The 26,785-nt window shown below is 34.4% G+C and overlaps 1 protein-coding gene across 9 annotated transcripts in view; it reads right to left on the bottom strand.

Annotated features, from left to right (window-relative positions):
• MDGA2 (MAM domain containing glycosylphosphatidylinositol anchor 2) overlaps positions 1–26,785 on the bottom strand; it is an 835,983-nt gene that overhangs the window by 98,696 nt on the left and 710,502 nt on the right. For 8 of the 9 annotated variants that reach the window (XM_011536519.3, NM_182830.4, XM_047431048.1 and 5 more), the window contains one exon: positions 19,056–19,325. In XM_011536519.3, the coding sequence (XP_011534821.1) occupies positions 19,056–19,325 (270 nt within the window). Of the gene's footprint in view, positions 1–19,055; positions 19,326–26,785 lie in introns of those variants that run through there. The other variant, XM_011536522.4, reaches the window with a different exon arrangement.

Raw genomic sequence — 26,785 nt, forward strand, 5'->3', positions numbered from 1 at the left:
ACCTGAGGTCAGGAGTTCAAGACCAGCCTGACCAACATGGTAAAACCCCTTCTCTACTAAAAATAAAAAAATTAGCTGGGTGTAGTGGCGGGAGCCTATAATCCCAGCTACTCGGGAGGGCTGAGGCAGAAGAATCGCCTAAACCCTGGAGGTGGAGGTTGCAGTGAGCCAAGATCATGCCATTGTACTCCAGCTTGGGCAACAAGAACGAAAATCCATCTCAAAAAAAAAAAAAAAAAAAAGAGACATCATCTGACCCCAATTAGAACAGCTATTATGAAAAAGCCAAAATATGACAAATGCTGGTGAAGATTGCAAGAAAGGGGAACTCAAACATTGTTGGTGGGAATGTAAATTAATATAGCCACTACAGAGAAAAGTATGGAGGTTCCTCAAAAAACTACAAATGAAAGTACCATAGGATTCAACAATCCCTCTACTGATATTTATCCAAAGGGAAGGAAATCAGTACAGTACAGAGATACTTACACTCGCATATTTATTGTAGTACTATTCACAATAGTCAGAATATGAAATCAACCTTAGTATCCATTAAGGGATGACTTGAAAGATAAAATGTAGTATATATACACAATGAAATACTATTTGGCCATAAAAAAGTATGAAATTCTGTCATTTGCAACAACATGGATAAGCCTGGAGGGCATTATGTTAAGCGAAATAAGCAAGGAGCAGGAAGTTGAACATTTCATGATCTCATGCATTTATGGAAGCTAAAAAGGTTGATCTCATAAATGTAAAGGGTAGAACAGAGGTTACCAGAGCCTGGTGGGGGGGTAGTTGAGAAGGAGAGAATAGGGCAAGATTTTTGAGAGAATACAAAATTACAGATAGGAGGGATAAATTGTAGTGTTCTATAGCACTGTAGGATGACTATAGTTTACAATATATTATATATTTTCTAGTAGCTAGTAGACGGGATATTGAATGTTTCCAACACAATGAAATAATAAATGTTTGAGATAGTAGATATGCTAATTACTATGATTTGATCACTACATATTGTATGTATCAAAACATTGCTTTGGAACCCATAAATAAGTAAAATTATTATAAGTCACTTAAAAAGTTTTTAACAAGATTCTCATGAAATGCTTTCCACTGAGATCTTTCTATTCATGACCTTGTAAACCTGCTTCCAGTGTTCTACCACAGAACACTGTTCATAGAAAATACTAAAAATAGCAGTTTCTAAAGCATTATTTGGAAGCTTAATCTTTGATAAAACAATTATTTCTAGGCCTAAGGAAGAATTGGTGTTTAATCTCTCCCAGACAGAACAAAATGTTTTAAGGCACTTTTGTTGTTAGTTGCTGTATTTGTCAGGCACCATGCTAATCAACTTGCATACATATGTTTTTTAATATTCACAGTCTCATGCAAGATGGCAATATCCTTATCATTTTGTCCTTTCACAGACTAAAGTGAAGATTAGAGATCTTAAGCCACTTTCCCTATAGTAAGCAACCATCAAGTCACGAAGCTACATTTTGAACTCAGGCTGTCCAAAGTCCATTTTACACTAATTTCCAATACCTTTGGGTATGGTTGCTCACAACCAAGTGCATGCCTTGCTGAAAGCATGACTGAGGCTGAAATCCAGGCTGTATTACTCTTGCTACGACTCTTACCCTGGTATAGGAACTACATCTACTTCAAGAAAGGAGCTTTTCTCTCCTCCTAATTTACAGAGTTATTGTATAGGCTAGTGGACTTTCTGATAGGATGGAGGACTTATTGCAAAAGGGTCTCCACTTTGCCTCTGTGAGTATGGAAACTTAAACTACAAGTTTATCCCTAGGACTCAATCATATTTGCTATATCACTATTTGAAAGTATTGTCGACTCAGGAATTTACAAAGATAAGGATTGACTAAATCTCTAGAATAAGAACTACAAGTACTTTGTTAAATATTTAACTCAAGAATAATAAATATACTATAAGCTGCATATAAATGTATTTAGTCTTGACTAAAGCTATATCTTTCCTTAAAACCTAATAGTTCCGGCCAGGCGCGGTGGCTCACGCCTGTAATCCCAGCACGTTGGGAGTCTGAGGAGGGTGGATCACCTGAGGTCAGGGATTCAAGACCAGCCTGGCCAACATGGTGAAACCTGGTCTCTACAAAAACATAAAAACTGGCCAGGCATGATGGCGGGCGCCTGTAATCCCAGCTACTCAGGAGGTTGAAGTGGAAGAATTGCTCGAACCCGGGGGGTGGAGGCTGCAGTGAGCTAAGATCATGCCATTGCACTACAGCCTGGGTGACAGAGCGAGACTGTCTCAAAAAAAAAAAAAAGTTGAACTTAATAGTTCCAAAATATCTAAAAGCCTTGTATTCATTTAAAGGACCATTGGTTGAGTGTGTGCGTGGAGGGGAACAGATGGATGAACTGATCCAGCGACTCCCAGGCTGAAAGAACTGAATGTTCAATGGTGTACTTATAGACCACATTAACTTCTTGGCAAGTGCTGCTGCTGCACATGTGGGTGGTCCATCGCTGAATATGAATGTGCTGAATATCATTTGGGCAAGGAGCAAGAGGTGTTCAAGTGAGTTGGAGAGAAGCCCAGAAGGTATGCTGTTTATCTTCTAGGAACATTTATTTTCTGCAAAACATATAACTTGAGTTAATAAAGTAGATTTAGATGTGAATAAAGGAAACCGGTTATTGAACCTGCATCACTGTGCCTCTCCAGGAATAACTAAAAGTTTTGAATTTGAATCCTAGAACAAGAAAAAGAATAGAGCACAAATAACTGCTCTTATCACCTTGCAAGGAATCACTGGACTGGATCTGACTGCAAAGCAGGTATCTATCTGCCTGCAGTTGGATCCCGAGGCTCCTAGTAACTGTCTTTGTCATACATTCTTTTAAAATAGACAAAGTCATTAGAATGATAAGAGAAGGAGATTTCTTAAGTAATGCTCACTTAAGTAATGTGAAATTATAAGACTGTGGTTATAACCTCTGGTCTGAATCCTTGACAGAATTTGTAACAAGAAAACGTCTATTGACTTTCTCAACTTAGAGCCCTGTCACAAAATCTCTCTTGATAAAAGATGCCAGATCAGGCTGTGGGCTATCATCTGTGGATTCTCTCTCCTGACCACTCTTAGTTTCAGGCATGCCCTTGGAACACACTCTGCACTGTTCTCATCCATTAATCATTCCTTCAGGGTGAAGGACAGAGGCCAGGTGCTTAAACAGACACCGGGAGGTTTGAGAGATGGCTTTGATTCCACTGAACTAAAAAGTTCTGTGATTCCTTCACAGATTGGTTTTATTACCATTCAATTTCTACCGGAAAATCTAAATGTGCTAAGAGGTAAATAGGCCCTTAAGAATAGCAGTACTAAACATAGGATATTAATATACATAGATGTGCTTTTCTGTATTCAGTTTTCTTTGTTCTATTCTTCTCTGGTGTCAGTACATATTAGAAAGTTTCTTTTCTCTCAGAGGAAACTGTTTGAATTTTTAGACTGTTTCTTATTATTTACAAATTAGATCTAATGCAGACTCAAAAGTAATGTGAGCAAGCTGTAAGACACAGTTTTGCAACCCTACACCCTAGCTTGTTCGAGACTGATATCTCTGTCTTTCCATTATTTTACACAGCAGTGACTGTCTCTGCTTACAAAATGGTAATACTCCAAACCTGACTGATATCTTTCTGATTTAACTTTTATATATGACTTTTGCTACCAACAAATTGGGTCTTTCTATATTTTTGATGTAACATTCGCTGTCTCTTAATGCAAGAAATATAAGAGAGAAACATTGATATGGAGAGGGGAAATACTGTGCAGAATAACCATTTTAGCTTCCCCAACTAAAATAATTTTGAAGGCTAGTGGAGGAGAAAAAGGAACAAATCATTCTTGAGGAAAAATTAATTTTGCTAAATTACTTTGCATATGTTACTACAATATGCATTAGAAAAATTACATACATTATAACATTACATGGAACAAATGTCATTCACATTATGAAACACTTCCTATTCTGAAGCCTACCTTAGCTAGCAGATGTTTTATTCATTTACAACACAATAGTACCTTATTCAGATATAATTTACATATAATAAACTTCATAAATTTTAAATGTGATTATTGATGGGTTTGGAAAAATATATATTGCTATGTAATCACCACCATAATCAAGATATAGATTCCCATCTCTGCAGAAAGTTACCTCCTGCCCCTTCGTAATTAGTCACCTCCACCCTTGACCCAGGCAAACAAAAATCCACTTTTCATTACTAAAGATTAGTTTTTCCTATTCAGGAAATTCATATAAATGAAATCATAAAATATGCACTTTCTGTATTTGGTTCTTTTCACTCGACATTGTTTTTGAAATCCATCCACTTGCATGTATCAGTAGTTCTTTCCATTTTTAACACTGAGTAAAATTCCATTTCGTGAATAGATCACAAGTTGTTCATCTGTTGATGGATATTTGGATTGTTTCTAGTTTGAGGCTATTACAAATGAAGCTGATATTAAAGTTTGTGCATAAGTCTTTGTGTATACATGTGCTTTCATTTCTGTTGGGTAAATTAATTTACTTAATAGTATGCTTAAAATCTTCTAAAATATTAGTGTTTTTTATCTCCATATTCTATCAATCACGAATAAATGGGTATTAAAATCTTGAACTATAATTATGGAATAGTGTGTTACTCCTTGTAGTATTTTTTATTTAGGAATTTTAAGGCTCTATTAATAGATGTTCACATAATTTGAACCGTTATGTCTTCCCTATAAATTCCTGTTGTAGTATTATTGTGTTCCTCTTTAACTCTCGTAATTACTCTATCTTGAAGTCTACTTTTTCTGGTAATAGTACAGCCATGCCAGCATTTTTATGTCTGCTGTTTGAATGCTATGTATTCCCCCATTTCCTTTCAGTCTTTTTGTGTCTTTGTATTTGAAGTGCGTTTTTGGTAGAAAACAGTGTGTATCTTGTAGATAGTGCATTTTTTTTTCTCAGTCCAGTTCTACCATTTCTGACAGCTAATTGGAATCTTAAACTCATTTACATTTACTGTAATTATTAACATGACTGAGTTAAAGTCTACCATCTTGCTCTTTGTTTTGTCTCTTCAATATTTCCTTCATCTGTTACTTGGTGTATTTTGACTAAATTCAAAAAACTTTTGAAGGATTTTTATATGGCTTAAAGTATGCAACATTCACTTACTGATTCTACTTAGAGTCAATATTGTACCAGTTAACATATCACATTCCATACTTCATGATTCTCTGAGGTCCCTATTTACTTCTCACTTCCCACATCACAAATGTAATAAATTTACAACAGTATAATTCAAATTAATTCCATCGCTTGTGCTATTGGCATGTTTTAGCTCTAAATATGCTGTGAACCCTAAATTACAATGTTGTTATTTTTTCTTCAAACTGGAGATTGATTGGCAGACTTATTTGTAAAGGGTGAGACAGTAAATATTCTTGGCTTGAGCCATATGGTCATTGTTGCAACTACTCACCTCTGTGGCTGTAGCATGAAAGCAGCTTTAGACAATACATAAACAAATCAGGAAAGGTGTGTTCCAATTAAACTTCATTTACAAAAAACAGTTTGCTGACCTCAGGCTGCTATTTGTTGACCCCATTTATATAGATGTTTATTAGGGAAATTGAAAGATAAAAGAAACTTAGTCTTTTATCTTTACCCACTTATTTACTATACCTAATCCTCTTCATTTATTTTTATAGATCCTGGTCTTCACTGATAGCCTTTCCCTTAAGTATAAAGATCACCGTTTAGCATATTTTTGTACTGCAGTTTCACAGACTACCAATTCTCTGGCTTTTTTCAGAATATATATATTTATTTGACTCTAATTTTTAAAGTATATTTTCACTAGACATAAAATATAAATTGACAGTATTTTCAAAAGATATTTAAAGATTTAAAGATGTCCCACTTTCTTCTAAGCTGTATTGTTTCTAATGAGAAAGTAATTGTCATACATATCATCAGAATATCATTTTTTTTTCTGGCTGCTTTGAAAATTTTCTCTTTATCATTAGTTTTCCACAATTGGACTATGGTATTCTTACGTGTGGTTTTCTTGTATTTTTCTTGCCTTGTGCACCATGATATGCTTGGATCTGTGGGTTTGCTTCGTAAATTTGTGGAAAATTTCAGCCATTTTTTCTGCCCCATTCTCACTCTATTTCAGAACTTCAAGTGCACCTGTTTTCAACTATTTTATATTGTGCCCCATGTTCTTAGGTCCCTTCTCTTTATTCTTCAATCCCTCTATTTTTTGATCTATCAGGTTGTATCAGCTCTTTCAATTTGTTTTCAATTTTACCAGTCCTCTTGCCTTTTCCAATATACTATTAAGCCCACCCATAGAATTTTTCTTTCAATTATTGTGCAGTTTTAGTTGTTCAATTTGCATCTAGTTGTTTTTTAGGGTTTTTTGTATGCTAAAATTTCTTACTCATTTGCTCACAAAATCTGCATTTTTCTTTAATTATTTGAACATATTTTCCCATAATACTTTGAAAATATTCATAATAGCTACCTGAAGCTTTTTGCTAAATCCAACATCTGGCCTACCTTAAGGTTAGTTTTTAATAAACTACTATTATTCTGGACCAAAAGTAACATTTTCCTATTTTCTTTTCATGTCAGGTAATTTTTTATTGTTTAATGAACATTATGAAGAATATATGATAAATAACTGGACTGTGCTCTCTTTCACCCTGTAAAGAGTGCCAAGTTTTAGTTTAGTAGACAGTTCAATTACCTGCTGTCCCTTTTGAACCTTTGTTTGCCATTTACGTTTAATGTAAAAAGTGATGAAATCTGTGGAAATCCAAGGATGTTCCTAAACTCTTCTAACTTGGTGGGACTCACCGTTAAAATTCCGCCTCCCTCTAAATTTTAGCAGAGCTTGGTGTTAGTCTTTGTTAAGGAGTACCTAGAATAAGTCTTTACTCTGACATGGTTTTTGTTCCTCTGATTTAATCCTTTTGGAGTCTCATCAGGATGTTTAGAATTTAAGGAGGTATAATCTACCTGATGAGCTGAAATTCTGGCTTCCTTTAAGCATTGCTAGAACTCTATTATCAATTTTCTACTCACAAAAATCCCATAGAGAAGAAAATGGTAAATCACCTCATCCTTGTAGAGTCTGATCCTTAGGTAAGGATCCACACTAACTCCTATGACCCTTCTTCTACAGAGTTTTTTACTATACAGTATTTTGTCCTGCAGATAGATGCTTTTGCTGCTTTGAGTTTTAATATATGTTTCTTAAACTTAGCCAGAAATCCATGCTCGGCTTGGAATCTACCTTGCTATGCTCATATACAGCAAATTCCCCCAAATGGAGAGCTAGAATAATCATGGGGCTCACTTCATGGGTTTCCCTCTCACAGGAAATGCAGCCTTGCACTGTCTGTTTTTATTCCTTAAAATTGTAACCTCATGTAGTTTGTCCAATTTTATGGTCGTTTGTAGTAGAAAGGCTGGCTCCATTAGTATTTTCCAGATAACTTCCAAGATTTTAGCAAAGCTACAACACAATATTCAAAAGATTTTAAGGAAGACATGAGTTGTATAATGCATGTATTTTAAATACATGGTTAACAAATATGGTTAAGTAGATAGTGTTGCTTAAATTAAAAATCAAAGAAAATTAGCACAAAGAAAAAAACAAATAATATGCTATAACACAGATAAACTGAGTCAAAAAGTGGACAAAAATCTTTAAAACTCTAAATGATGTTTTAATTTAATCTGAATAAAAATTAAGGTATGAGATCTAAACTTCTAAATTTCCTTTCTCTTCCTATAGCTTCACTCATTGAATAAGTATTCATTAGTAGTGCTCTATATATGAGGAATTCCTACAGATATTGGAGGGGAGATTGTAGGCAGTGAGCTCAATATGATATAACTTTATTGCTTGATTTTACAGCTGTAATGCCAATTTATATGATAATTATTGAAACTTGGTGTATTCTCCCTTGTTTACTCACAAAACAATCTATTAATGTGCCTGCAAAAAAAAAATGACCTTTTCAAAGGTTTCTGTACTTTGAAATGAATGAATGCATTTGCTTGTGAACTGATATTGCACTTGAGTTGTGTTGCCAATACAGCAGTAAATGAAAGGCTAACAAGCAGGAATAAGTGCTTGTTAAGAGAAATATTAATGGCCTGAAATATTCATTCAATAAATGGACTGATGTTTGCTCCTATGGAACATACATTATGATGTGGATGTAGTCAACAAACAGTTACATAATTTCTGGGTTTGACAATATTCTGAAGACAGTCTCTGAGAGATGACATATATTAAGACTTGTAGAAAAAGAAAGAGCTAGTCATACCAAGACCAGAGAAGAGGATTCCAAAACTAGAATTTTCTCTTTTACCCCTAAGTTCCTCCAGCCACCTTACTTACACCACAGGCCCAGGGAAAACTGACAGTACAGTGAAACACTGATTTTTCAGTGTCAACAACTCCCTACCATGACTGACAGGTCGTAGGAAGGATGCCAGGTCCTTCCCCTTATATCCTCATAAGACCTGCCCCTTATGTCATATTGGCATTGACTCAAGTCTTAATACTGAATGATTATGAATAAAATATTTTAAACATTACTTGTTTACAAAAAACAGACTTGATTAGGTTTTTACTCATTCTTTCTTCTTTCTCATATTCCATTCTTTTCCCTCAGATCCATCTCTTTCTTGCTTAATTCCAACAAACAAGAATTCTTTTTAAAATTATCTTTGTAAGATAAACTTTTAGAATAGGAATATTTTCATTGTGTCCTCGCAATTAATTGTACATTTATTTGCATGCAAAATTCTTTTTCAATTACTTTTTCTTTAATATTTTGAAGACATAACTCCATTATCTCTCTGCATGTCAAGTTGCACAAAGTTTAATGTCTATATAATTCTAAATCCTGTATAAATTATCTGCTTTATCTCTATAAATAACTTTTCAAACATTTTTGTACTTGATATTTTAAAATTCATTTAAATTTATCAGAGCATGTAAATTTTCCCCCCAACATATTGTTGCTGTCACTCCATGAGCCACATCACTCAGAAGTCTAGCCAATATGGTTTGGCTGTGTCCCCACCCAAATCTCATCTTGAATTCCCATGTGTTGTGGGAGGGATCTGGTGGGAGGTAACTGAATCATGGGGGCAAGTCTTTCCCATGCTCTTTCCGTGAGTCTCATGAGATCGGATGGTTTTAAAAAAGAGGAGTTCCCCTGCACAAGCTCCCTCTCTCTCTTTGCCTGCTGCCATCCATGTAAGACATGACTTGCTCCTCCTTGCCTTCCACCATGACTGTGAGGCTTCCCCAGCTACGGAACTGTAAGTCCAATGAAACCCTTTTCTTTTGTAAATTTCTTAGTCTCGAGTGTGTCTTTATTAGGAGTGTGAAAACAGACTAATACAGTCGTCCTTTTTACTTTCTAATTTAAAAAAAAAATCTCAGTTATTATTTTTTTCATTTAATTTTATTTCTGCATTTGGTCTTTTACTTCTTTATGGGTTTCCTGCTAAGCAGATACTTATTATTTTGTCCTTCACACCTCTTAAGACTTTACTTACCTTTGTGTCCTCTACTGGGAGAGTTCCTCTATGACATCTTTCAAACTACTTATGCCTGCCTTGTGCCTATTCTGCAATTTAGTCTAGTAATATAGTTATTTATATCAACTGTTACATTTTTATACCCATTGTCATAAATTTCTTTTCTGCAATGCTCTTTTTTCTTCATCATGTTTCTTATATCCTCCCTGCTTTCTTTGAGGATGAAATTTTATGTATTTAAAAATCTTATTTTCTGATTATTAATACTCCTACCTAATGTGGAATAGATTATTCCATTTGTCTTCTTGCTTTCATAATTGTTTTGCTCATGATTTTGCATATTTTATTCCTGTGAGATCCCTAAATATCTTGACCAGTACTGTCTATGAGAGTAAGGATGACCTAGGCTCTTGCTTGTGTTCCTTAGGTAAAGGGAAGGAGTGCTTCAGGACGGAGAGATCTGGTTGCAGTATCATTTTTACCATTCTCTATCTTCTCTTCCCTCTACTCTTCAGTTTTCTCCCTCCAGTTCTCTCAGTTTGAAATACTCTAGGTCCAGGCACTGCTCTTACCCTAAGTTGGCCTGCCTCTTGGGTGTGGTCTAGCTTGAGGGAGTGTGGATGGAGATGTGAGGAGAGGAAGAACAGTAGAAACTCTGAGAGCCAACCACCCTGTTGCCCTCATTTCTATACACTGTCCCTTCCAGCTCTGATTCTCTCTCAACGTTTCTCCTAATATTTCAAGTTAGAATTGCTGCTTTTCTGCTCCTTGGTAATGTCAGGCAATAAGCCACCCAGAATAATATACAGAGGGGAAAAAGCTCACCTAAAATGCAAAGCTATCTCTCAGACAAGCCACAAAATATTGTCACTGGCCTCATTGGTTCCAGCCTAATATTCTTACCACACTTCTTTTCCAACCAAAGCTCAATTGTGCATTGATTACTTACTTTATCTCTGACATCAGTCATCCTCTCCATCTCTGCCTTTTTGGAGGGGCATTTTCAATGTTGTGTTACTCAGGCAGAAAGTAGCTTACCTATGGGTATATCTGGAAATCTTCTCATCTTATTTTTCTATGATCATACTGCTTTGTTTTTAAAACACTTTCAAACTGATTAGCTTATTTGATAATCCTAAAATTATGTGAGCCATGGGAAGCAGATTTATCATCTCCCATTTTACAGATAGAGGAAGCAAGGCCACAAAGAATTAAATGGCTTGCACAGAGCTAATCTGTTAGAAGATGTTAAAATCTTCCATTCATGGGAGAACTTTCTTTACATACTGACCAAGAATAAAACACAGTCATACCCACAGTACATCATCCAGAAGAGTTCCATGTGGACTAGAGGAGTTCACGTAATTTGCTCCATGCTGTAATTTGATACTGTGATTTCTTTTTTATTATTTTTTAAGATTTTTGGGGCATATGTGTAGTTTTTTACATGGCTATATTGCATAATGCTGAGGTTTGGGCTTCTAGTGTACCCATCATCCAAATAGCGAGCATTGAAATGCTTACCAATGTGTAATTGTTTAACCCTCACCTCCCTTTCTCTTCTCCAATTTTGGAATCCCCAGAGTCTATTATTTCCATCTTTATGTCCATGTGTATCCATTGTTTAGGTCCCATTTATAGATGAGAACACTGAGTTTTGATTTTCTGTTTCTGAGTGATTTCACTTAGAATAATGGCTTCCAGCTCCATCCATGTTGCTACAAAGGACATGATTTCATTAATTTTTATGGCTATATAGTATTCCTCATATATATACCACATTTTTTAATTAAGTCACCTATTAATTGATACTTAGTTGGATTCCATGACTTTGCTATTGTAAATAGTGCTGCAATAAACATAGGAGTTGAGGTGTCTTTTTTATATAATTATTTCTTTTCCTTTGGGTAGATACTCAGTAGTGGGATGGCAGGGTTGAATGCTAGTGGCACTTTAAATAGTAGATTTTTGATAGCAACATTGCTCTGAATCTTTTATTGGAGAAATTAAATGATTTTATAATGAAGAAAATGAGTAATGCAAATAATTTAAGGAGCCATCAAACTGCTGTAAAAATAATGAAAATTTTAATTGAAGTTTTTATTTAAGTATGATATGAAATATAAATTCCTCATTATATGTTTACTGGAGAAAAATAACTGTTTAAAAAATTATATGAATTTAAATTGAATATTAAGGTATATATTTTAGTAATAAGTGATAGCATTAACTTCATTAAGTGATACTTACATTTTTATTCCTAATTTTTCAGATTTCGCATGGATTCCCCTATATTTTATCTAGATTGATTATTCAAATATTCCTTTATCATCACTACTAAAAGAGTCACTGATATGTGTCAAAAAGAGTTTGAACTATGTTATTATTGGCTTACTGGACCTCTGTTAGTTTATCTGTCAAAGGAGGGTGATACCATCTCTTCTGCACATGTAGTAGGGTTGTTGGAGATGATAAGGATATGTATGGAATCACTTCGTATATTACAGAAGGCTGTACATAGAAGTGATATCATTTTCTGCTTAAAGTTATTTTTCAGTACAGCTGCAACTCATAAGCTGGCTAAAATACTGGGATCCACTAGTCCATCTGTTATCATCATAAATAAAATTCTAATAAATTTAGCAAAATTCTGGCCTTGAGAAACTTTGATTTGACATTGAAATTTCTTGCCTTTTAGAGTTATCACAATTTTACTGGCAATTATTTTTCATTTTCAAAGTATGTTTAGACTGCTCTTACTTCTGATAGTTATTAATGATTTTTAACAATATTATGTTGCTTGTTTTTAGACATTATTAAGAAAGAAGTATCTAGCTGAATAGCAATAAATAAATAAATAAGTAAATAAAAACATTGCCAGAGACTAAAATATATTTTCTATCTGGTCACTGTTAATTCAGTCCAAATTTAAAAAAAAAAGATAAAATACTTTATTTTGATGTGGAGTCAAATCTGCTTTAGTAGTTGTTTCTTCCCATTTATTCTTCAGGAATAAGAAATGCTATATTCCTTTAACATCTTGTTTTAGGTGATATTAAAGTCCTCAGTCATTTTTAATTTCTTTATATACTGAACATGGAGAAACTGGTAGTTCCAATATGTCAATATGAATATTGTAATATGCCAAAAGGAAAATACAGGATGTGAAATCCTAGCTCAAATATTTCCAAACTAGAGGTGAGAGTAGCAGTTACAGGCAAAATTTTGCTTTGTAAAACCCTATTTGGCAGGATTAAGGAAAGGGATTAAACTATGAAGGATTTATTTAGTTAATATTTCAATAGATACAGCAGTTTCATTCTTATGTAGGCTATGTTCAAAAAGGACTCCTAGTGGCAGGAAATGCTGTGGCAGAAAGACCCTAAGATGACTCCCAATGATTCCTGTCTCTTGTTTTTCATATATTTGTGTAATTCCTTCAGTGTCAGGGAAAAACCGTGACTTCTTTCTGATTAACAGAACCTAAAAAATGTTACAGAATGTCACTTCTGTGATCGTATTATGTACATAAGATTCCATTTTAGCAGACTGGAGCTAGAGATTCTTCTTGTGGGTTTGAAATAAGTAGTCACTTTTGAGAAGCCCATGGGACAAACTATTGCAGGTAGCTTCTAGGACCTGCAGGCATATTCTAGGGTCTCAGGGTAGCTCCAGCAAATAACCAGCAAATACCAGGGCCTCTATCATACAACACAAAGAAATTAATTCTTCACATAACTTGAATAAGCTTGGAAGGGACTTTTCCCCAGTTGAGCGTCTAGATAAGAACACAGCCCAACCAACAGTCTGACTGCAGCCTTGTGAGACCCAGAACAGAGGATCTAGCTAAGCCATGCTTGGAATCCTGACACATAGAAACTGTGAGACAATAAATATGTTATTTAAAGCTTTTGACTTTGTATAATGTAATTCTTTATGCAGAAATAATAACCAACACAGCACCATCAATTTTATTATGTTTAGCATTAAAATATCTTGAGTCAATAATTAAACCTCATATCATCTATCTTTTGAAATTATTCTGAGACTAAATGTCCGTGGCTCTGAAAAAGGGATACAATAGTAATGGTGCATAGTTTACAGAGATAAAACCATAGTTCAAGGATTTTCCTTGGCAATCTCATTTTAATTTCATTGCAGTATTTTCAATAAAGGAAACTTAAATATATAATAAATGCAATTTAATCTTCTTAAAATAAAATCTATACCCACAACATTAATTGACGGTGAAGCAATACAATAAAGTTATTTTCAATGAAATCCAAGCAGAAAAAAAAAGTGTCTAAAATTATTGGGAAGTCTCCTCAAAAAGAAGAAGCATGCTTTACTTTTGGAGGAAATGTGGAATTAATAGCTGGAGTTTAAGTAGTCAGGGTTATAAGATGTACCATTTATTGATGGTGGTTGAGGATTAAGATGGAAGAAGCCTGAATTCCCAAGGACTTTGTGGAACAGAACCATCGTGTTACTTTCTGAAATGATACATCACTTAACCTGAGTGAAATAATTTTCTAGACTGTTTAAATAATGGTTAAGCCATATTTAAATCCTGGTTATTTGGAGTTTATTTACATGTTCAGAGAAAAGCATTTACAGCAGTAATCATTAATTTGTGAATCATAAAATATTATCACAGCCTGCACCTTTCTATTTGGCTGAAGAATAATGATTAACATAACCCTGGTAAAGTCATATACAAAAGTCACCATAACTGTAGCATAGAGATATACAAAAAGCTAGTATTTCAGAATAAAGTAACATGTGAAGAAAGGCAGAGTCCCACAAATGTGTGATGATTTGGGGGAAGGCAGCATAGTCAAATTTGAATTGAATTTGGAATAACTGGTAGAACTGAAATAGAGATTATGCTATATATTTTATTTTAAATATTAATGAATGCTTTGAAGAATTATGACAATGAAGAATTTGCATATCATCCTATAGGCAATGAACAGAATCAACCTTTCTCACTTAAGATAAGCTAGGTTTTCTAGGAAAATAAAGCCCAACAATATGAAAATTTCAGAGATCAGATAAAAGGAAACTGCAGTATCCCAGAAGAGAATATAAGGCTTAAGAAGTGCAATAGATATAAAACCAAAATTACTTCAAGATACTATGCAAATGTAAAACTGGCAAAGTTTTTCAGAGAAAGTTTTTATTGTTCTCTTTCTGATGTTTAATCTTGTACCTCACACTTAGTAAGTAGAGAGTAAATACTTGTTAAATACATTCCTGACTGTAAAAAAAATCAGTTGAGAGTACATATTGGTGGTTTTATACTCAATTATAATTTATGGTTATGCAATAAAAAATCTATTATATATATACACTGTTAACTTTTGAAAAAAAAACACCACCCCTTTAGTATCTTTCATTTAAAAGAATCTTAAAATGTCTCCATTGATAAAATTCCTAAATATTTTACAACTCTAAGTATATATAACTGTGTACATGCACTTTCTGGAAGTTAGAAGGGCATTCTACTTTTATCTCCTGGATTATATAGGGAACATTGATTACCATTTTATTTTCCTCTTATTTTCTTTGATCTAAAACCATGTAATAAATGCATATGCTTAGACTATTGCATTTAAGCAACTAGACAAAACAAAAAAGCTAAATATAAAAACTATGCTTTTTTTCACATTATTGTCTTGCCTGACTTGTCAAGAAATATTAGTCTCCCGATGCCCATAAACATTTCAGTAAAAACATAATGTCAGAAACAAGTCTGTTAAAGTAAAGAAATATGAAGAAAGTGTAGTTAGTGGGAACATAATTAGAATAGCTTAGAACTAACATCTTGATTGCTAAATATTTAGGAATATCAATTAGAACAATTTGAAAGACATAGATAATTTAAAACTTTATAAATAAATGCTGCATTTTGCTGCAGATTGCCTGTATCTTCACGTTCAAAAAAAGAATAAAAGTGCATCTTCATTAATCTCTGGTGCTGTCAACCGAATCTACCAGTAGATTCTGTCATCTGGTTTCCTATATAATCAAGCTGCTGGAAACATCTTTTCTCTGCTATATTGTGTAATGGGCATAACATTTCAATGTTGAAGCATCCCTTGGGGTTGGTTTAAGCCAATGTGTAGCTTAAACCTACACAGTCTACTGATGTAGGTGACCTGAAACCTCGCAGGTTGATTTTCCTCATTGACTGCTTCTTGCAGTTGTAAGCTTATTCCAGTTAGCCCTTTAGGTGGCAAAAGCAACCCCTTCTCACAACTTTGCTGAGTTGTAAGACACGTGCACCCATGTCTCCAGGGTCTAGCTTGCTTAGTGTGATAAAACTGAGGACAGTTGACAAAACTGTTCTATTCATCTCGTATAATTTTTAACAGCAGGGTTCTTTGAAATAGTGAGTTGTAAAGTGTATTTGTTATCTAAGACTGCCACGACAAACAGCCACAAACTGGGTGGCTTAAACAAACAAACAAACAAAAACTATCTTCTCACAAGTCTGAAGGCCAGGAGTCTGAAACCAAGGTCTTGGCAGGACCCTACTTCCTACTTCTGTAGAGACTCCAGGGGAGAATATATTCCTTGGCTCTTCCAGCTTCTTGTGGCTCCAGGGGTTCTTCAGATTGTGGTTGCATTACTGCACACTCACATTGCCTCCTCTTCTCTCTCAAAACTCCCCCTGCCTCTCTCTTATAAGAATACATGCTATTGCATTTGAGGCCCACCCAGATAATTCAAGATAAGTTCCTTCTCTCAAAATCCTTAACTTAATTACATATGTTGCCATATAAGTTAATATCCACAGGTTCCAGGGATTAGAACATAGACTTATCTTTTTCAGAGGGCACTAGCTAGCTTCCTAAAATATATATGATTTATTTTCAACTTAAGCCATCCTTTTACCCTCTCTGTATTCACTTTTTTCTCATTTAAAAATTATTTTCAGAAATTTTCTTTCACTGAATCATTAACTCTTTTGTTCATCCTCCATCTATTTAATCACTCTAGATTTACTGGTTTTCTTTTCTAGATCAAGAAATGTGATGGGACATAATGGGGTATAACATAGAATGATATTCAGTCATGCCATGAAAAAATAAGCCCAGATATTTTGAAGTATTGAAGTATATGTTTTTCCAGAGTTAAATATTGAGACATTTTGAATCTTTGATAAACTGAAATGCATGCTCCAGTTAAATCCTGTGCTATAATATTACAGAACTATTAAAATAGAACTATTTATGTCTACATATTAATATATAAGTAATATAGATAATACTTGGAATTTCAAATTTACAAATGGGCTTATTCTAATAAATCAATATGCTACCTTAACCTTTAGAACTTGTAAAAAATAGCCCATCATAGAAGATGAAAAATGGCATCTGGGTTTCTACTAAAGCTCATGAAGCTCACTTAAACCTCATAAAACTGCTATGACTTCACCATTAAAATACGAGTAAATAAAATATATGCAAATGCAAAGTATTTTTTAGTATTATAGTTAATTATCTTTAACATGGATAATATACTACAAGCTAGGCTCATCACAGTTTCCAAAATACCTTTGCTTACTTTGTTCTTTTTCCTAGCAGGAAACTATTTTCACACCCCTTCTGACATTTAAGTGAACACAACGGTATTCTCTTAGCCCCTTACTCTAACATACATCATAAACATAGAATTTTAAAAGAAGAAAGAAAAGAGGAATAATCTTTTAAGATTTCCTGTGAGCTAATACAGGTATAGACGTCATTGCATTTTAGTTCAATTCCGTACATTTCGGTGTATAGGTAGATCAAGTGTACTTTGGGATGACTATACAAAATTCATGGTAAGTGGAAGAGTAAAATAATTGAAAAAATAAAATTTAAAATGTTTTTGGTTGAGTCTCAGAAGTAAACAGCATTATCTTGAAAGATTTGCTTTGTGCATTAAAAATATATGGATCTTTGTATACTTCTATTCCCTGACTCTCTTACGTTAGATTCAAAGTTTCGAGTCATGAGAAATTCATAAGGAATACTAATCCTGATATGTTTTAGTAAATGAACTAATTGGTGTTTCAAAGTTTCATCCAGACATCTGATATGCTTTCCTAGATTAGACTAGCTAATATTACATTTCAGAAAGCAAAAATGGCGAAAGGCAGTTCATAATTAGAGAGTTCCCTCATGAGTTAGAAATTACCACTTAGAATTTATGCTATTAATAAGTTTTAAGTCTGGAACATTTTAATCATTTTTATGACTTCTTTTTAGATAACACATAATGTCCAGTTTCTTTTTTTTACTACCATGAACATTTCAACTATTACAACTAACTTTACCTATGACAAAGAAAATGAGGAGTATTTTCTTTTAATGCATTCCTAATTTGTCACTCATAAATAATGTACAGTATATAGATTATAAAAATAACGTAAATAATTACATAAGACATAATACAGAGGGAATGTTTAAAACACAATGACATAAAGAGTCAATACTTCTCCCTAATTTACTATCTGTCAGATACAACTCTACTGCTTTTTCTTGGAATATTTGTAAACATATGGCCAGTCAAAGACAAAATTGAAAGTCACCATATATTGCCAGGTAGTAAATAAATACATATATAAATAAGCAAATAAACAAAAGAAAAAAAATTCTGGTAATAAGAAAACCAGAGCAATTATCTATTCACATGAGATTTGAATAGAAAAAAAAAAATGTTTGCAACTTGATCTAATTAAAGCCAGCCAACACTACAGTATGTCTTATTATTATTGAAACACTCAAAATAACTGATATGGTTTGGCTCTGTGTCCTCACCTAAATCTCATGTGGAATTGTAATCCCCACTTCTCAGGGGAGGGCTCTAGTGGGAGGTAATTGGATCATGGGGGTGGATTTCCCCCTTGCTGTTCTCGTGATGGTGAGTCAGTTCCCATGAGATCTGATAGTTTAAAAGTGTGTGACACTTCCCCCTTCACTCTCTCTCTCTTTGCTGCCACCATGTGAAGTAGGTCCTTGCTTCCCCTTTGCCTTTTGCCATGACTGTAAGTTTCCTGAGGCTTCCCAGTCATGCTTCCTGTTTAGCTTGTAGAACTGAGTCAGTTAAACCTCTTTTCTTCATAAATTACCCAGTCTCAGGTAGTTCTTTATAGCACTGTGAGAATTGACTAATATAATAACCAATTTCCTCCTCACTAACTCTACTAGAATTCAGATAACCTTCTATGTAATTTTGTAGGCCTGTGCATTCTTTTAACTATTAAAATAAATTTGACTTAAAAATAAATTTGTAGAAACTCTAACTTGAGGAGTCAAGCTGTTCTATGCTCCATTGATTTACAAATGTTTTCATTCTTATATTGACATAGGTCTAAGATCTCTTGGTCTAATAAAACAAAATGTATAAAAAGAAAATATCTGGAATCCTACCTGTAACAAGAAAGCTGCATCTCCCAGCTCCAGCTTCATTTATGATGCTACAGTTATAAACCCCATAGTTTTCATTGGAAAGACTCTTCACAGCGTACTCTGTGTATTCCTGAGAGTCAAATTGACCCGTCCGTAATAATTTATTGCCCAAGCGCCACTCATAGGTCAGCACCCGTATTGGATAGGCTCTCAGTACTCTGCAACTCATAGTGACACTTCGATCCTGTCCTTGCCGGATTTCCAAGAATGCTGGTTCCACTGCAGGGGGATCTGTAGAAAAGATATGTAAAAACAGATGAAAGATGTGACTTGCAATAAGCCAAAAGCTACTCTTATTAGAAGAAGCCATTTGCAGTAACACATGCAGCAATAGAGGAGGAGTGTAGGAGGTGAATGAAGAACATATTTAAGCCCAGAAATTTTAGCTTGGGTTGGGAAATGTGATTTCCTGAGGGTAGGAAGTAAATGAGCCTCCTTGCTTTACAAATGCATTTGCAGGTGAAACTACTAGAGCTGACTGATCCTTCGTACCTCTTTCAGCAAATATTTTTAAACTTTCCTATTAATTCTAATATTATCAATATATTCCTTTTTTGTTTGTTTGGGGTCCTTTGTCTAAAAGTGGTAAGAATTCTTTTTTTATTATGCAATGAAAAGATTCCTTTCTTCATTTACTTCATGGTCTGATACTGAAGGCAGCTATTTAAAAAGCTAATTTACAAAACTGTATGAAAAATAATTCTACAGTGCTAAGTAAATAAGAAGTGAATGACACTATGAGAGTTGACCAGGCAAGTATGCTACAAAAATAATGCTCAGCTGTGTCTTCCAGAATGTATAGGAGATGGTCAGGTGAGTAAGCAGTAAGAGAAGGCATTCCAGGTAGAGGAATGGGTACATACAAAGGTACAAAATCTGAAGAGGAAGGGATGTTCAGAGAAATGCAGATGGATTAGCATAGCTGATGCACAAAAGAAGACCATAAGCGCTTGGGGGGAAATAAAGATGAAAAGAAAGAGACTCTATTCAAGGAATGCATTTTCTTGGTATTGAGGAGGTCTTCTAAAATTTTTAAATAAAGGATTTATATGATCAAATAATTTTTTTCTTTGGAAAAACACTGTGGTAGACAGGAAAAGCATAAACCACAGAGGGAAGAGACAAGTTGCAAAAAAATTAAATCACTGGTGAAAGCCTGAACTAAGGTGAGGTCAGTGGGACCAAAAATGATGCCTTAGGCAATGAAGTGGATAACAGTGTCAGTCATGAAGACAGTGAGGAAAAGGAGAGGTAGATTGGTGTGTGTTGAATGTGTCCATTTCATGCACCTGTCAATTACATCCAGAAGCAGTGTTTCTTCATTTCCAAACATATGGGTAATGTTTTATTTTCTCTTTGCTTTTGATTTTTTGCTTAACTGAATTGTAGTCAGATAAAATAGTCCACATGTTTTCAATCCTCTGAATTTGTTAACACTTGCTGTATGACACAATATATAATAGATTTCTGTTCTGGGTGTGCCCACTAAGAAGGAATAGTCTGCACTTTTGAAGTGTGATTGATATGTATCTATTGGGCCAACTCTAATATCGAGGAGTTGTCCAAATCATCTATATGGTTGTTTATTCATTTATTTTTTGCCTACTTATTCCAGTTGAATTAATTCATAAGAGTATGTTAAACTCCTCTAAAAAAAGTTAAAAGTTTTAGATATCTAATTTAAAAAATTCTCCTTGTAGTTCTGCCTCCTTTTTGCTTTACCTGTTTTGAGGTTATGCTATTAAGTATATATGAATTTAGAATTGTTTTATGTTGTCCATGAGTTGAATATTGAATATTTATCACTATAATCTCTTTTATCTCCAGCAATGCTATATATGTGTGTGTGTGTGTGTGTGTGTGTGTGTGTGTGTGTGTGTGTGTGTGTGTGGATACATACATATATATATATAGTCTAACATTATCATGGCTACATTGGCATTTATTATGTTAGTATTTGCATGTGATATTTTTCCATCCTTTTAATCTTATACTTTTAATATCTTTATAAGTATTTTTATTCTTATACTTTCAGTATCTTTAAATTTTACAAGCACCTCTTTTAAACATCATGAGCTTATGCTTTATTTTTTAGGATTTTTTTTAAGTCTGTCAATCTTTTTTTAACCCAGAGCACTTAGCACTTTATTCATTGACATTTACTGTAACTACTTATTTTGTACTTTTATTTTATTACATTTTTGTATTAAATTTACTGTAACATTATTTTGTACTATTTGTTTTCTGCTACTCTTTATTGCCTTCTTTTAGATGGATGGATTACATTATCATTCTGATCTTTTTGCCACTACTACTTGAAGATTTATTTACTCTGTTTCTACTACTCCGATTGTCTCAAAGCTTGCAACATGCATACTTAAGTTATCCAAAAACATCAATCAATACCCTTATTATACTACTGAAGAACACAATAATCTAAGGATAATTTGTTCCTTTTATTCTCATTCTAACGTGTTACTGTGTCATGAATTTCAATCCTCTTTTTTTAATAAAAAGTCTGTTGTACATAGTTGGGCGTGGTGGCTCACACCTGTAATCTCAGCACTTTGGGAGGCTGAGGAGGGCGGATCACGAGGTCAGGACTTCGAGACCAGCCTGGGCAACATAGTGAAACCCCGTCTCTACCAAAAATACAAAAATTAGCCGGGCATGTGGCGTGTGGCTGTAGCCCCAGCTACTTGGGAGGCTGAGGCAGGGGAATCGCTTGAACCCAGGAGGCAGAGGTTGTGGTGAGCCGAGATTGCACCGCTGCACTCCAGCCTGGGAAACAGAGCTGGACTCTGCCTCAAAAAAAAAATTATATTGTACATTATAGTATAATATGGTATACCTATAGTATTTTTTAAAATGTCCAGATATTTGCTAGCTTATTTGCCCTTCATTCCTTCTTTCATTGTAGACTTTCCATCTGTGATGACTTTCCTTGTGTCTGAAGTTATCATTTAGATCTATCATATCTTTAGTGAACTTTTTGATCATGATTTTCTAAAAAATATATTTTAGTTTGTGGGCTGGGAAACCAAGAGCTCTTAATGCTATACCCAAAGACTGAAGTTCTTTATAGGACACCATACACACGAAATAGTGCTATGTTTTCCTAAGGAGATCCAAGACTTAGCCACTCGTAAGCAGGCAATAATCCATGATTAGTGATGTGGGGAAGTAAATAAAGGTCTCAAAGTATATGTATGTCTGTATGTATGTGTGTGTATACATTTTTATGTTATATATATACACACACATATACATACATATGTGTATATATACACATATATGTACATGAAATATAATTTTCATTTTATATGTATATGTGTATATGCACACATATGTAGAATTTGTGTACATATTATACATATATAGAATTATACATATGTATACACATATACATATGTGTACATATAAGTTAAAATACATATATATTTTAATATTTTATATATACACATGTTTTATATATACATATATGTATATATATTTAATGTTTTATATATACATATATGTGTATGCGTATATATATATACACACACACACACACACACATAAAACATTAAAAGGTATTTTCCTTGTAGGTTGGCAGGCTTTGTTCTTTCAGCGCATCATTATATAATTCCACTGTCTTCAGATGGCCATTGTTGGTGTAAAGAGGTCAACTCAAAGTCTCACACTTTGACGTGAATGTCTTTTTTTTCCTCCAGCCACTTTCGAAATACCTTTGTCATTGCTGTTCTGCAGTTTCAATATACGGTTCCTAGTGATGAGTTTCTTTTTACTTATGGGTTTGAAATTTGTTGGGCTTCTTAGATCTGTTAAGTTTGGTGTCTTTCATCTGAGGTAATTTTGGAAAATTCTCATCATTAGCTGTTTAAATAACACCTCTATTTCCTTCTTTATAGCCTCATTAGATGATCCTGTTCATTCTGCTTTTGATGTCTTTTAACCCCTTTTCAAATTTTGCACTTGTTGGTTTTTCTGTACTGCATTATGAATAAATTCGTCTGAGCTAATTCAGTTCTTAATTCTTTCTCCAATCCTACTTAATCTGCAAAATATATATTGTGTATTAATTCCAATAACGTATACTTCATTTATTCTTTTTCTGTATAGTTATTTTGTATACCTGCACACCACTTTTTTGTATGTTTCCACTACCTGAAAAAGTAGTTAAGCTTATCTTCCATTTCTTTAAACAAAGTAATTGTTTTATACTGCCTGATAATTTTTTTTTTTTTTGAGATGGAGTCTCACTCTGTCACCCAGGCTGGAGTGCAGTGGCGCAATCTCAGCTCACTGCAACCTCCACCTCTCAGGTTCACGCCATTCTCCTGCCTCAGCCTCCCGAGTAGCTGGGACTACAGGCACCTGCCACCACACCTGGCTAATTTTTTGTATTTTTAGTAGAGACGGGGTTTCACCATGTTAGCCAAGATGGTCTCGATCTCCTGACCTCGTGATCCACCTGCCTTGGCCTCCCAAAGCACTGGGATTACAGGCGTGAGCCACCGCACCGGGCCACTGCCTGATAATTTCAATTGAAGTTTTGAGGAAGTTTTTCTGTTGGTTTTCTTTCAAAGTACTGTCTTCCTGTGTGTTCTTGATTAATTTTGATCAATTTGATTCTATGCTATTTGTTGCCCTTTAAAAATATTTATAGGATATGCTGATGACTAAAATGATGGTTTCTTTCTCCAGAGAAAATTTGTGTCCACGGGCAACTATAGACATCACTGTCTAGGATCACATTTAAGTGCATGACTTGAGGCTGATTTGAATTATCAAGTGACTTGAATTTGAGTTAAAAATCCATATAAAGGTCAACTTGTAACTATAATTTCAAGAATGGATAACCACATCATCCCATCCTGTTCATTTCAAAGTCACACATTTCCTGCACTCCCTTGGGAGTGGGAATGTGTAGATTGGGTTTACTTCTGCTTTACTCCTACCCTACAGATATAATCCTTTGAGATCCAACTTCTTGGGAGACAGTTCTACCAACAGATCCCTCCCCTAGTGAATATTCTGGGTTTGAAGTTCTGCACCCCTTGCCCAAAGATGCCATCAGAATTGAAGCTCAAATTTGTCCATATTCAGCAAATACCCTCAAGGCAAATGTAACTTCATTGTACTTCTTTCATTAAATTTGACAAAGTATTTTTCAAATAAACATTTTAAATGTTTTTAATATTAATTTTACAATATTGTCCAGATTTTAGTTGTTTACATTGGAGAGATTTTACATAATATTTTGTCTATTACATGCCTAGAAACATGTATCTGATTGTCAAGGGAAAAAATGGATCTTAAACTCAGAAGAAAGGGCTGACTGAAGGTTACAGTTATTAAGATAGCTCAGAGTGAGTATAGACAAAAATAAGTAAAATGCCAAATATGAACTTTACTCTTGAATATAATCACTTATGGGGTTAGAGAAAAATAAAAGCTTTTAAAGGAGAATAATCATAAACAATCAGTGAGATGTGGGGATCTAGAGTGTTGTGTTACAAAAATTAAAGGAGCTGCATGTTTTAGAGAACAAGAGTGGTCAAAAGTACCAAATGCTATCAAAAAACAAGTTAAGACTGAAGATATGTAAAATATATATTTTTTCTTTGACAAGTTTAGTACCATTAAGGAATATAGTGAAGCATTTTTTCTGTGTATTATATATAATTTGGGTTTGGGGTATGTGAATTGATGGTTAAACTGTAGAAATAATGAGTGATAACTGTTCAAGAACACTGTCCATGATTTTAAAAGATAATTATTTATGATGATTCTACCTTAAAATATATTAGGAGCTTATACATTTGTCACTATATCCACTACCACTACTATTATTTCTCACATGGACTACAACAAATTCCCTGCAGTATACCTGTAATAGGTCAATGTACTTCTTTTGTTCTCTCATTCTTCTGAGATTTGTCAAATGCGTGTTTAACAGAAAAATCAGCTCATGTTACTTTCCTGTTCGAAAAACTTTATGGACTCACCCTTGTTTGCTATTCAGGACTTCAAGGTCCTGCAAGTTCTGGCTCTGGCCATATTCTCAACTATTCTTGTCTTGATGACTATGTCCCAAACACATAAGTTTTCTTCTTGTTTCTACATGACAAGTCTTTTGTAGACTTTAGACCTCTAATTTGTTCTTTCTGCCTGAGATGTTCTTTCCTTTGGTCTTTCAATAGCTGGCTCATTCTCATCATTCAGATTTTACCTCTTTAGGAAGCCCATCTTTGATGACAAGTTAGTAAAGTAACTTCTCCCTTGGTTAATTTTTATTTATCATTGCATATATTTTCTGCATATGTTCACTCTTTGTTCATATCTTGTTTATGTAAGCTCCATTACAAAGGGACCTAAAATTCTCCAATCATTGTTGCATCCTATGTGTCTATTACAGTATCTGTCATTATAATTGGTGATATATCATTATTCATTAAATAAATGAATACTTGAGTGGTGTTAAAAGAGTAAAGATGTACACATTCTCTTCAAAATTCCTCCCATCAAGACCTGGAGTTTATGTTCATTTCATTAAGTCTGGATGGGCTCTGTGATTATTTTCACTATTAGAACACAGAGCAGAAGTGATGCTGTGCCAATTTCTGGGACCAGGACACAAGTGTCTGGCAGTTCCACTTCCTATCTTTTGAAGCACCCACTCTGGAAGTGCTGAACCCCATGTAAAACTTCAACCTCTCCTCTGCAAAAACCATGTGAAGAGGCCCAGAGACAATATGGAGAAGGAGAGGGCAGAGTTTAGCTTAGACTTCCACTTGTCCCTTCCAAGGTTCCAGACACAAGAAACCATCTTGGACATTAGAGACCAGATCAGCTATCCACTGTTAGAATTACTATGATTAGATATAATAAAATGTGGTTCTTTTAAGCTCTGAAGTATTGGAGTAGTTTGTTACATAGCAAGAAATAACTGAAACAGATGCCTTCTATCCTTCAAAAGTCAAGAGTCTGACACTATGAGTGGAGTCAAAAGGACAAGGAGGCAAAACATTAAGGCATAGTTTAAGGGACAGTCTAAGCTGGTTCAGGAAGGAAAGAATTCAGAAGGAAACTCATAGGGGAAGACAGCCAACAGACTGATTTGCTAGAACAACTTGAAAACTTGAAAAGCAAATACATTGAGGACAAAGGTATCCGGGAGCCAGAACGTTTCAGTTAATGAACAGCATATTGTTGCAATTTAATAGCTCACAGGTAGAGAAGTTTGGAATGATTACAAAATCAAAGATATGACCGTTGGAATGTAATACTGAAGTGGAGATTAATGATACTACAGTCAAATACTAATAAGTTAAGTGAATACAGTCTTTGCTGTCAAGTTATATTTGTATTTGCCTAGCAAAGTTAACGTGTTTGTAGCTATTTTTTTTCTTCTTACAAAAGGAGAAATTTCCTTTTAAGTGGAAGAGGTTGTCAGTGTAATTCATTATACCTAATGGGAAAATATCCCCAAATATATATTTACTTTTTTTTTTTTTTTTTTTTTTGAGACAGAGTCTCGCTCTGTCGTCCAGGCTGGAGTGCAGTGGCACGATCTCGGCTCACTGCAAGCTCCGCCTCCCGGGTTCACGCCATTCTCCTGCCTCAGCCTCCCGAGCAGCTGGGACTACAGGCGCCCGCCACCACGCCCGGCTAATTTTTTGCATTTT

Source organism: Homo sapiens, chromosome 14, assembly GCF_000001405.40.
Source record: "Homo sapiens chromosome 14, GRCh38.p14 Primary Assembly".
Classification (NCBI taxonomy): Eukaryota; Metazoa; Chordata; class Mammalia; order Primates; family Hominidae; genus Homo; species Homo sapiens.